The following is a 13140-nucleotide window of genomic DNA, read 5'->3' on the forward strand; positions in this document are numbered from 1 at the left end:
CAGTAGACCCTGTCCACAGTCCTGACAGGCATGGACCTTCTCCCTTTAGGCAGCCCACTCCACAGGTCAAGGCCACACATCCAAGTGTGCAGGAGGATAGAGGAAAAGAGACACACTAATTTCAATACAAAGGCTTCCCACAACTACAGTCATTCAAACTACTTCTAAGAATGGAGAAACAGAATTCTTCTAAGAATTACCAAAAGCCCCCATATACGGCTGCTCAACAATATCATCATTTGACAAACATCATTAATTCAAGTAAAAATCATGTGGATGATTAACTCATCATTAACTCAAGTAAAAATTAGTGGATGATGCTTACAGGAGGAATAGGATATCTCATGGCCTCAAAATATTTCCCTATAAGGTATTTATTAAATAACAAAGGCAAAAGTAGTGATTTTTACAGAGGAGAATCGTGGCAAGAGATCAAAGTTAACACTGCCTGTATGGATCATACACCGAAATCATGTGCTCCTGATGTGAGGCACTGAGGACACATCACGTAGCCTGGGGAAACATCAGATAAACCCAGACTGAAGGACAAATAACTACAAAATAACTCATCTGTACTTTTCAACAACGTCAAGGTCATGAACAGCAAAGACAAGGTCAAGGTTAAAGGGCACTTAAAGAGACATACCATATAAATGCTGCATGTGACCCTAGACTACACTCTGGAACACCTCAAGTTCTTTATTTTGCTATGAAGGACATTACTGGGACAACTGACAGAATATGACTAAACTCTGTAGATTACATAACTGTGCTGTATCAACGTTAATTTCCCTGATTTTGATTACTGCGTTGTGTTTATGTCAATGAATGACCTTGTTCTTAGGAAATACATACTGATTTAAGGGCAAAAAGAGCATTATATCTGCAACTTCCAAATGGTTCAGAAAAAACTAATGTAGGCCGGGCACAGTGGCTCACACCTGTAAATCCCAGCATTTTAGGAGGCCGAGGTGGGTGGATCAGCTGAGGTCAGGAGTTCGAGACTAGCCTGGCCAATATGGCGAAACCCCATCTCTACTAAAAATACAAAAATTAGCTGGGCGTGGTGGCGTGCACCTGTAATCCCAGCTACTCGGGAGGGTGAGGCAGGAGAATCACTTGAACCCGGGAGATGGAGGGTGCAGTGAGTCGAGATCGTGCCATTGCACTCTAGACTGGGCAGTAAGAGCGAAACTCCATCTCAAATAATAATAATAATAATAATAATAATAATAATAATGTACACTTATAGAGAAAATGATAAAGCTGATGTGGTAAATATTAATAATCAGGGAATTTGGGTGAAAGACTTATAGGAGTTTTCTATTAAGTTAAATTTTTTCAAAATAAAAATTGCCCCCCAAAAAACAGTGGTTAAAAATGACCATCCAGCTGGGCATGGTGGCTCACACCTGTAATCCCAGCACTTTGGGAGGCCAAGGTAGGCAGATCACTTGAGGACAGGGGTTCAAGACCAGCCTGACTGACATAATGAAACCCCATTTCTACTAAAACTACAAAAAATTAGCTGGGGATGGTGGCACACACCTATAATCCCAGCTGTTCAGGAGGCTGAGGCACAAGAATTGCTTGAACCCAGGAGCCGAAAGTTGCAGTGAGCCAAGGTCACACCACAGCATTCCAGCCTGGGCACTAGAACGAGACTCCATCCCCCCGCCACACACACAAAAAAGACCATCTGGCAGAGTTAAGAATACTGTCACTTGGCGAAGATCATAGTAACTAATTTTTCGCAATACTACATACTCTATCCACCAGCAAATCATGAAAGTATGGCTAACAGATTTCTAAACAGCTCTTTAACTACTCAGAGAGATTTTCAGAAGCATAAAGCAAGAAGTTTTTCCTCTGTAATCTATTTTTATTAAGCTTAAAGTTCTAATATTTTATCTTTTTTTTTCTTTTTTTAAAGTAATCAACATGGCAATACCTCATATGCTTGAGGTTTCCTGGACAAAACCCTATTACTATTTCTGTCTCTAATTCATCCTTTTTGCCTGCTGTGCTGTGGGCATGACATCAATTTATTATAACCAATAATTTCCAGTGCCTCCCAGTCACTAAATTGCCACCACACACACATGATTCAGAGGAAAGAAACTAGAACCAGCATACTCTTCAGTTGTTTAAGAAAAAGCCTGGTCTTTATATTTCCCCATTTATATAAACAAGCTAGTAATCAATTGACATAGACTCCACAATGTTTCCTGATAACTAGAGAAAACACACAGGTCTACCAGATGTTTATAGCTACTTGTGAAAAGACACATACCCAAACCTGAAGAGTACTGTGATCACAAAACTGAGCTTGATTTTTCTACTAACGACTATTAGTATTAGCAGCCTGACATTTAAACACACAAACCCATACATGCTTATTCTGCTCTAAGTGAAGAATTTTAATTTTGAAGATTGTTGGCCGGGCGTGGTGGCTCACACCTGTAATCCCAGTACTTTGGGAGGCTGAGGTGGGTGGATCACGAGATCAGGAGATCGAGACCATCCTGGATAAAACGGTGAAACCCCGTCTCTACTAAAAATACAAAAAATTAGCTGGGCGTGGTGGTGGGCGCCCGTAGTCCCAGCTACTCAGGGGGGCTGAGGCAGGAGAATGGCGTGAACCCAGGAGGCGGAGCTTGCAGTGAGCCGAGATAGCGCCACTACACTCCAGCCTGGGCGAAAGAGAGAGACTCCGTCTCAAAAAAAAAAAAAGAAGATTGTTTATTAATTTGCTCTACCCCATGATCCTGGTATGGTAGTGTTTTCTATTTCAAGTTCCTATAGACAGTAATACGCTCCATCACTAAGGCAGCAGGATTCCAGGACATTTGATTTTTGATATATGCTTCATAACGTTTGCAATACTAAATGAGAAGTTTAATTTCAAACTCCAATCTCTGTCTGCTCTCCTTTCTCTCCCCGGGTGAGCCTCTGAGGCGAGAGGTTTGATTCAGGAGATAAGACTAGGGCTGCACAGGCATGGTGTGCCTCGTGCGCCACGGAGTGAAACTAGACAGACAAGGGAAAACCCACCAGGTCTCGAGTCGGCAGGAGAACCAACGACCAGGTATTTGTTTCTAAAGACTCATATGATCCACTGAAGAGAACCACTGAGTCAGAGGCAGGGGTGGAGGTCGCAGTGAGGGAGGACATGGCACACTACCCACAGGCAGGGGTAGCAGCTCCCACTGTGGGGTTAGTCATCAGCTGGGGCTCTGAAGGCGGTGACGTGCTAAGTGACAGATCACCACCAAGATCCGTTTCCCATGAAAACACTTTGGAAAGAAGCTTTTATGTGGGCTCACTTTATACAAATAACACTTCAGAAAATAAACGAACACTCATTAAATTATGCACCAAAAGAAAGTAAACTGTGGAAGCTAGAAGAGACAGCAGTGTTAGATATTAATTAATAGGCTACAGAGAAGAAGAAATACATTTATCATCTGTGAGAAAACATGTAGGTTTGTCATTTTATTTTCCCTACACAGAAGCAGCCATAATGGCAGAGAGAGTGAACAAATATTCCCAGGGTTTTGGGGCACAGCCTAAAATAGTCCTCCAAAAAATACCAAATTTCTTTTCTCATTTTTAATCATAAAAATTCACACTAATTTGCAATGATACTCTAGGACACCCATGTTTATCTCATAAAAAAAGTCTCTCTCCCAGACCTCAGGTAAAATTAATGTTCTAGGAACGTATGCCACGCATTTCCACTGGCTATCCAGTACCACTCTCGCGTGTCAGCACATTCCAAAATTAGTTTAATTTAAAAGAAACAAGACCAAACAAAACAAAGCCAAAAGGAAACAAACAAAACCTAAAAGGGGAAAAATCCTACTAAGATAACTGAAACAAATATTGTCTAATATATTTCTCAGAAAGGGTCTACTCTTGACAAATGTTTTTTATATTAACACAGCATTTGCAGTCAAAAGAAAAATAAGCCACTCACTATCCAAAATGGGAATAAAAGTCTTTTCTTCTATACCTCATTTTTGGAAATAAAAAGTCTTTGGCTGAAAGCAAAGGAAAGAGTTACGTCCACATAACCCTTCAGAATGGGAAGAATCAGCGTCACCAAGTCTTCACTTCGCCAACTAACAACAGTATTTTAAAAATTGTTCATTCTGATTTTTAGAACCAACTCATGATGCTGGCTATCTGTGAACAACAATACCTTCTAGTATGTTATATAATATTTCATTTCAATGTTAACAGGATATTTTTCTTAAATTTCCAGGTGCCTCTCTCATATGCTCTGTATCTGTTAATTCATCAAACACTCAAGTGCCTCATATGTTAACCTCTAAATGGAATACAGAAATAATTAAGACAAGACCCAATCTACTAGAAAAAAAAAGTTGAATATTTGGCACAAATAAACACTCAAAGAAAATAGATCTTCCAGAATATACTATCCAAGCAAATATTCAGTCTTGCTAAATTTACCAACAGGTTTTTAAAATCCTCTGAGAATGAGGGCTGCGTTGCCATGTGACACAGGTAGTACCTGGAATCTAGTAACTAAAATTGAAAAGCTTATTTCAAGATGGAGTTAGGCTTCTTGCCCCTGCCCCACCCGTTGTCCTGAAGTAAAAAGCCACTAGTGGGGTCAAGCAAGATAGGGTCCCCAGATGGGGTGAGGGTGGGCTGGTGCAGTGGCCCAGCCTTGGGGCGTCAGGTAGGCCGCCAACCCTTGAGTTGAGTCACATAGGGAAGGCACCGGGAAGGAGGCATTGCAACAGAGGATTGCTCACTTACAGCGGAAACTGATGCAGTAAGTAAATGTGGCTGAGGCCAATGAGCAGCTAGATTTCTCAACTGTCAAATAAAGCAATTACAAATACAGAAAGGGAGAGAAGAGGAAGAACCCTTTGGGGTTGAAATGGGATTTGGAGTATCAGGGGGAACCCAAGGACACACACACACATGCACATTTTCCCCTGGTCAGCCCACTGCTCAGGAGTGGGCCAGCCAACACCCACAGCAACGAGCACACCCACAGTCTAGATCTTGGCTTCTAAATGTTTTCCACTAAAAAGAACCAGAGACTCTTCGAGAGATGGCAGACTGCAAGGCTAGGGCAGGGAAAAAATAACAGCCTGAAACATCTTAGTATGCCAGAAAGAAATTGCTCAAACAGTTATAGGGGCATATCAAAAAGATACAGAAGGCCAGTCATGGTGCCTCATGCCTGGAATCCCAGCACTTTGGGAACCCAAGGCGGGTGGATCATTTGAGGTCAGGAGTTCGAGACCAGCCTGACCAACATGGTGAAACCCCGTCTCTACTAAAAATACAAAAATTAGCCAGGTATGGTGGCGGACGCCTGTAATACCAACTACTCGGGAGGTAGAGGCATGAGAATTGCTTGAACCCAGGAGGCGGAGGTTGCAGTGAACCGAGATCGTGCCACTGCACTCCAGCCTGGGTGACAGAGCAAGGCTCCATCTCAAAAAAAAAAAAAAAAGAGATACAGAAGCCTGCAACAAACAGCAGCCACTGGACACGTCTAAGGTGATGTAAACATGGAAATGTATAATAATGGTAAGAGATTATAACTCATTAAATAAAATAGGAATACAAGAGTGTATACTCATACAAGCACACACATAAGTAAATGGGAAAAGGAACAAGCTTTTCCTTACTTTCAACTAATAAAAGTAGAAAGAATAACTGGATTAGAAAATCACCATTTAGCAACCATCACACTATTCATTTATTCTGCCAAGAAACATCAATTAATGCTAAAACTATTGGGGGTGGGAGTTTGATGAGGAACAGGATATTTACAGTCTCTCCACAATGACACTCACTAAATATAAAAAGACAGAGAGTAACTTTACAGTGGAGAAACCTGGCCAGGTTTTCCTAATCACTCTACCTTAGTTAAATGACCAAAGTTAATACTACCAATAACAGAGCAAACCAAAATCACAAACTGTTAGGATACAAAGAGAACACAGCAACGCTTCTGTAGTATCTGCACACTTGAACCTAATCATGAGAAAATAAATGCAAACTGATAAACATTCCACTGGTCTGTAAGCTCCAGAAGTGTCAAGGTCATAAAAATCAAGAAAAGGATGGAGACCTGTTTCAGACTGAAAGTGACTAAGGACATAATGCCAGTGTTCGTAAAATGCCATCCGTTTTAATAAAACTTCAACTTATACATAGACTTACGTAAGAAGAATAAAGCGATATATACCTGTATGCCGTGAAGCTTTTTGTTTTAAGGAAAAAGGGTTAAGTAAAAACCTTTATCACTGAGCTTCAGAGACTGGAAATTGTGATATGAATTCAATATTCCATGGGAAAAAAAAACCTGCTAAACAAAAATAACAAATAGCAGGATCAGTTGCTATGCAACAATAAGAAATGTTTGCATGAAGTCAGCAGAGGAGGAGAAAGGGCAGTAAAAATGAATCTTTCTATATTTTCTATGTTTAATTCTCAGGGCAGGTTATAAATAGTGAATCAGAAACTGTTCCAACAGACAGGTATTTTCTTAGAAGATACATAGTGGCATTCTTCAGTTTCTTAGTGTGGAAGATGTGAGGACAACACTATAAGCTAAAAAGAAATCTACTGGCATGTGACTGATCTGTACTGAATGACAACTGAAATGGCAAGTTCAACACAGAAAGTATACAAAAAGTATACAAGTGCCTTAAATTTTGTAATGAAGACTCTTTGAGGTTACTACAAGTTAGTGTCGTTAAAATACTGAGTAAGTTTCTTAAAGCACTTGTCTTCAACTCTTAGTCCGTTATTTCTCTTCCTGCCTACTGATTAACCTTGGTAAAACTTTCTGAATGTTTCTAGGAAAAAGCATGGAAAAGAAAAAAACAAAGTTCAAAAACAAGATCTGTAACCTTGGAATATGATTTGATTATAATCACTCACTAAACAGATTAGCCAGTACCTTTTATTGTCAGATTTTAAAAATACTTGGCCACAGGGAGTTAGTAAGGCCTATTATAGCCACAATTCTGCATAATGTGCAAAGCAAAAGTGCTTAGCAGAAAAAGAGGCTGAAGGCACCATCACACCTTAAACATAAACCTCTTAAGACTTTATCTTCCTGTCATTGCAAAAACCCTACATTTAATAGAAAAACTAATCCCCATTTAAACAACGTCTAGAAGAGATACAGAGACACTAGATGGATACTGGAAAAGTAATGCTTTGAATCTCAAATCCTATTTTCTTGAGTTTTAAAATTACAAATAGTTTTTTTTAGTCAAAGAAAACTAGAATCTAAGTTGTGATTTTAAAGAAATCATAATCAAGAAGACTGCGAAATGGAGGAAAGTGGAGGGAGAAAAGGAGAACTGCATCTTAAGAGCAGGGGTGGGCCAGAAATAGACCAAGTCTTAGAAAAATGAAGCAGCTGATTCAAAACTCAGCTCAATATCTGATTGGATTAAGGTTACGTGGTCCAACCTTAACTGTCTGCCAGAAGCAAAATTATATCCTCACTGGAGGACAGTAATCATATCCAAAGACATTCCAGTTTTTTTTAAATACAATGTTTGTGATTCAGTCAAAAGCTACTAAACATGCCAGCTGTTTAAGACCAAGTGACTGAAAACCAAGAAAAACAGACAAGAGAAACCTATACTTGTCAGATATGGGCTTTGAAATAATGTGATTAATATGTCCAGGAAACAGATGATAAGATGTAGAAGTTTAGCAGACAATATTAAACTATTAAAAATATCAAATGAAATAACTAAAATTAAAATACACAGCTAAAAGTTAAAATGCAATAGGTTTAGGCTGGGCACAGTGGCTCAGGCCTGTAATCCCAGCACTTGGGGAGGCTGAGGAGGGTGGATCACCTGAGGTCAGGAGTTCATGACCAGCCTGGCCAACATGATAAAGCCCTGTCTCTACTAAAAATACAAAAATTAGCCGGGCGTGGTGGCAGGCACCTCTAATCCCAGCTACCTGGGAGGCTGAGGCAGAAAAATCACTTGAACCTGGGAGATGGAGGTTGCAGTGAGCTGAGATTGCACCACTGCACTCCAGCCTGTGCGAAAGAGCGAGACTTAGTCTCAAAAAACAAACAAAGCACAATAGGTGTGATGGCAGATTAGATACAACTGAAGAGATATTAGTATAATGAAAGGTGTGTCAGACGGAAAAAATCCAGAGATCTTAGAGTGAAAAAGAATACTGAAAATAACATAAAACACGTATAGGACTCAGTGAAAATGTGTAATATATATGTAACTAGAGACCCAGAAACAGATGCAAAAATGGGACAGAAGCAATATTTATAAAAATAATGGCTGAGAAATTTCTAATACTGACGAAAGATGTAAACCCACAGATTTAAGAAGTTCAGTGAATCACAGCTGAATAAATACAAAGACAGTATAACTGGGCACATCATAATAGGACTACTCAAAATCAAAGAGAAAAAAAATTTCTATTATTTGACTATCAAGGGAGAAATAATCCTAAATACAGAGAAAAGATAAAATACCTTCAAAGAAAAAACAATACGACTTGAGAGGTGATTTCATCAGAAAATAACTGAAATCAGAAGGCAATGGAATGATATCTTCCAAGCGCTCAAGAATAGTAAGACGAACAAACAAACAAAAAACCCCTGCCAATCTGGAATTCTATACCTAGAAAATATATCATCCAAAAAAAAAAAAAAAGTAGGTGGCTTAAAGACAGGAGAACAACTTCAAGACTTGGGGTAGGCAAAAGTCATGGACAAAAGGTGTGAACAGACACTGCACAAAAGACAGGCACATGATCAATAAGCACATGGAAAGGCACTCAGTATCACTAGTCATAGGGAAAACGCAAACTGAAATCACAATGAAGTAAATGCACTACACACCCATCAGAATGTCTAAAACCATAAAAGACTGAGAATGCCAAACAATGATGAGGACATGAAATAACCAGAACTCTCATACGGTGCTGTTGGGAGTTAATAAGATACGGCTACTTTGGGGAAAAAACACATGGCAGTTTCTTATGAAATTAAGTATATACCTATCCTCTGACCGAGCAATTCCACTTCTAGGTATTTATTCAAAAAAATATTAAAAAATGTCCACAAACAAAATCTTGTTCAAGAGTAGTCAAAGCAACTTTGTTCATAATAGTAAAAAAACTAGAAATACTCCAGGTGAAGTTTACTAAGCAATAAAAAGGAATGAGCAACTGATACACACGACTGTATGGATGAGCCTCAGAAACATGCTCAAGTGAGAGAAGCCTTATACAAGAGTCCACACGTATGATTCCATTTATATTAAGTTAGAGGACAGAATCAATCTTTGGCAGAAGAAAATCACAACAGTGGTTGCCTTGAGCTGGGAGATTCATTGGGAAGGACAGGAGGAACTTTCTGAGGTAAATGTAATATACATCTTACAAGGAGTCTGGGTTACTACATGTGTATGCACTTATCAAAACTAGGTGAATGCAAGCTTAAGATTTGTGCATTTTGTTGAATATAAACATGATCTAAAAGAATAGCAAACTGTAAGTCAATATGCAACTCTAGGTAATAATAAACATGTAGAAAACACTTGAAGGAAAGTGTACCAATTAACTCTGAAATGCATCAAAATATAAGATGGTTGGACAGATATGTAATAAAGCAAGTATAATAAAGTATTACTGGTAGAATCCAGGTGGTAAGTATATAAATACTGACTGAAAACACTTTCAATTTAAAATTTTTTCATAAATATTGAATAAAAAATAGGAAGGTGAAATTAATACTTGACAAAAATGAAGAAATTATCAATAGAAAATCTATATTAAAGGAAATCTGAAAGAGTTAATTCTTCCGAAAAGAGGAAGAAATCCAGATGGAAGAACGGAGGTGTAGTAAGGAAAACAGAGTAAGAGGAAGGGCAACCATGAATATAAATCTAAATAAAAATCAACTGTATGGAACAGTGACAATGATGTCTTGTAGGAAACACACACACTTGACAACTATATCCTAAAAGGAGGGAGGACTTCATTGTGCTACAGTGTTGTAAAATCCTTGCATTTTTTCTGGGAAGTGATACTAGTTTATAGTCTTTAAAAAGTCAAAACTGCGTGAGGTAATCTCTAGAGCTTACCATTAGACAAATGGTAGAGGAAGGAAAAAAACAAAAAGCATCGAAACTGGAAAAAAAAATTAGAAGAGGCTGACCAATGGAAAACAAATAATAAGTACGGTACAATTAAACCCAAGTGCCAGTTATTATACTAAAAGTAAACAGACTGAATATTCTAAGATTATTCTCAAATTTAAAATAAGGAAATGTGCTACCTGACAAAATACTGCTGAAATCAGATAAATCCTGTTTATCAAATGTATTCCACACAATAGCTGACATAGAGACCCAAATGAACAAGCAAGTAGGATGGCATAAATTACGCTGAAGTCACTCAAACTATTCCAAAACACTACAGCAGCACAGCAGCACAAAATATGTCTTTGTGATTAATCACACCTTGAAGCAAGATGAAACAGAAGATACAGGTACGAAGAAAAGCAAACTCCCACATTACATATTTACATAGTTCCTACTGTGTGTAATTTCCTAGACTCGGTGTTTAAGTCTTACTCAATCATACCTGAAAAATCACGAGGCTTTTACTTTTCCTAATGCGGTTAAAACAAAAATACAAGAATGTGGCAAACTAGCCACTGTCTCATTTTCCCTCCAATGAAAACTGGCTCCTTCAACCTTAAACAGATAGCCCAGGCATGGAAAATTGGTTAAACGTGGGCCAGTCCCAAGTGACCTGGATCCATCACCTGTGGGGCTGGTGGGGCAAAAGCCTGTGAAATGGCATCTGGCCTTGTGCAGAGTCCCCATTGCACAAACTGTTTCTGTGCTGTGTACAGACATCAGGGTGTGTATGTGTGTCTGCTGTCTGTGTGTGCAGAACTTACGGCCCCTATTTGACAAACCCAGCCGCATCTTGCATTTGGTAGACACAGCAGCTTCACATTACTGGGTGCAGCACATCTCGCCACCCACTGACCCTGTCCCTCACATACCCTGAACACCTACTTACCAGGGCCTGTGTAAGATGCAAGGATACCCATTTCACTACAGTTTATATCATAAAAGCACCTTACGTCCTTTTTTTAGGAAGACATGGACTAAAGTAAGATCTGCATCAACGTCACTGCACAAGTTGTGTCTGCATCTGCCATCTTAAAATAATAACTGAATTTTCACTTGTGTATATCCTCAATAACTGCAACAGATGCTTACATACTTTGGTATATGAATGCTGAGTGATACAGCTTGGATCTGTGTTTCCATAAAATCTCATGTCGGATTGCAGTCCCTATGTTGGAGGGGGACCTGGTGGGAGGTGGCTGGATCATGGAGGTGGATTTCTCATGCATAGGTGGGAGGTGGCTGGATCATGGAGGTGGATTTCTCATGCATAGGTGGGAGGTGGCTGGATCATGGAGGTGGATTTCTCATGCATAGGTGGGAGGTGGCTGGATCATGGAGGTGGATTTCTCATGCATAGGTGGGAGGTGGCTGGATCATGGAGGTGGATTTCTCATGCATAGGTGGGAGGTGGCTGGATCATGGAGGTGGATTTCTCATGCATAGGTGGGAGGTGGCTGGATCATGGAGGTGGATTTCTCATGCATAAGGTTTAGCACCTCCCCTTGGTGCTGTTCTCTTGACAGTGAGTTCTCGCAAGATCTCGTTTTTTAAAAGTGTGCGGCACCTCCTCCCTTCGCTTTCTCTTGCTTCTGCTCCCACTATGTGAGACACCTCGCCCCCACTTTGCCTTCCACCATGATTGTAAGTTTCCTGAGTCTTCACCAGAAGCCAAGCAGATGCCAGGATCACACTTCCTGTACTGCCTGCAGAACCATGAGCCAATTAAACCTTTTCTTTATAAACTGCCCTGTCTCGGGCATTTCTTTATAGCAATGTGAGAACCAACACAATGTGTAAAGATCTGAGAATAGTAGATAAAGACTGTAAGTTACAGAGCTTAAAATCTTAAAAGGTTTTCCAGGGTATACTATCAGTATGAGCCTACATCATCAGATACAGCAAACTTAAGTTTTCAAGGCCATAAAAAGATGAAGGGGTAGGATACAAAGTTTAACAGCTACTGAGTAAGACCTTCACAGAGTTGCTATGGTATAGAATCTTCTATAATTTTTAAATATAGGCCACGCGTGGTGGCTCACGCCTGTAATCCCAGCATCTGAGGAGGCCAATGTGGGTGGATCACCTGAGGTCAGCAGTTCAAGACCAGCCTGGCCAACATGGCAAAACCCCGTCTCTACTGAAAATACAAAAATTAGCCAGGCGTGGTAGTGCATGCCTGTAGTCCCGGCTACCCAGGAGGCCGAGGCAGGAGAATCGCTTGAACCTGGGAGGTGGAGGCTGCAGTGAGCTGAGACTGCACCGCTGCACTCCAGCCTGGGCAACAAATCGAGACTCTGTCTCAAATCATCAGATACGAATTCATCAACAAATGAATGAACAATTCATGTACATCTCTTCAAGATCTTTTTCAGCTTGTTAATATTCATCTAGGTAGGAAACATGGAATGTGATAATCTTCTGTAAGTTGTTCAGACTTGTCTTAAAAACTTGTGCCATTACCATTAAGGTTAAGTAATCCATATTATTAATATTCTAGATGCCTGAGGCACATGAACAATCATAAAAAGAACATTAAAAAAATCAAACCCAACCTCAGAGAAGATCACTTCAACAATTTTCCATATGCTCATTAGTCAGGCGTAAACATGCCTAACTTTAATATTATTAAAATACAAAAATGGAAAGAGCAACTTGCCCAAATTATAAACAGCTAGAAACACAGTACCAAATAAAAGCACCTCAGCCTGGACTAAGCCATCAAGAAGGCATTAAAAACCTCTTCCTAAAACAAAAATGAGACACCGCTATATAACTATTAGAATGGTTAAAATCCAAAACACTGATAACACCCAGTCCTGGAAAGGATGCAAAGCAGAAGGAGCTCTTGTTCATTGCAGCTGGGAATGCAAAATGCTACAGACACTCTGGAAGAAAGTTTGGCAGTTTCTTACAAAGCTAAACATAGTCTTATATACAA

At 39.6% G+C, this 13140-nt stretch overlaps 1 protein-coding gene across 2 annotated transcripts in view, besides 1 other annotated feature; it reads right to left on the bottom strand.

The window, feature by feature from the left end:
- The window catches only part of CHSY1 (chondroitin sulfate synthase 1), a 76322-nt gene that overhangs the window by 27505 nt on the left and 35677 nt on the right, over positions 1 to 13140 (bottom strand). The gene's annotated exons all lie outside the window — the stretch shown is intronic.
- Positions 2498 to 2663: a silencer, noted in NCBI's record as "fragment chr15:101745934-101746099 (GRCh37/hg19 assembly coordinates)". NCBI's record gives its function as "represses an EF-1alpha promoter that drives an FKBP-Casp9 reporter gene in an ReSE screen in phorbol 12-myristate 13-acetate-treated (for megakaryocytic differentiation) K562 erythroleukemia cells {active_cell/tissue: K562(+PMA)}" and the evidence as "EXISTENCE:reporter gene assay evidence [ECO:0000049][PMID:32094911]".

The sequence above is a fragment of the Homo sapiens genome, chromosome 15 (genome assembly GCF_000001405.40).
Source record: "Homo sapiens chromosome 15, GRCh38.p14 Primary Assembly".
Taxonomy (NCBI): domain Eukaryota; kingdom Metazoa; phylum Chordata; class Mammalia; order Primates; family Hominidae; genus Homo; species Homo sapiens.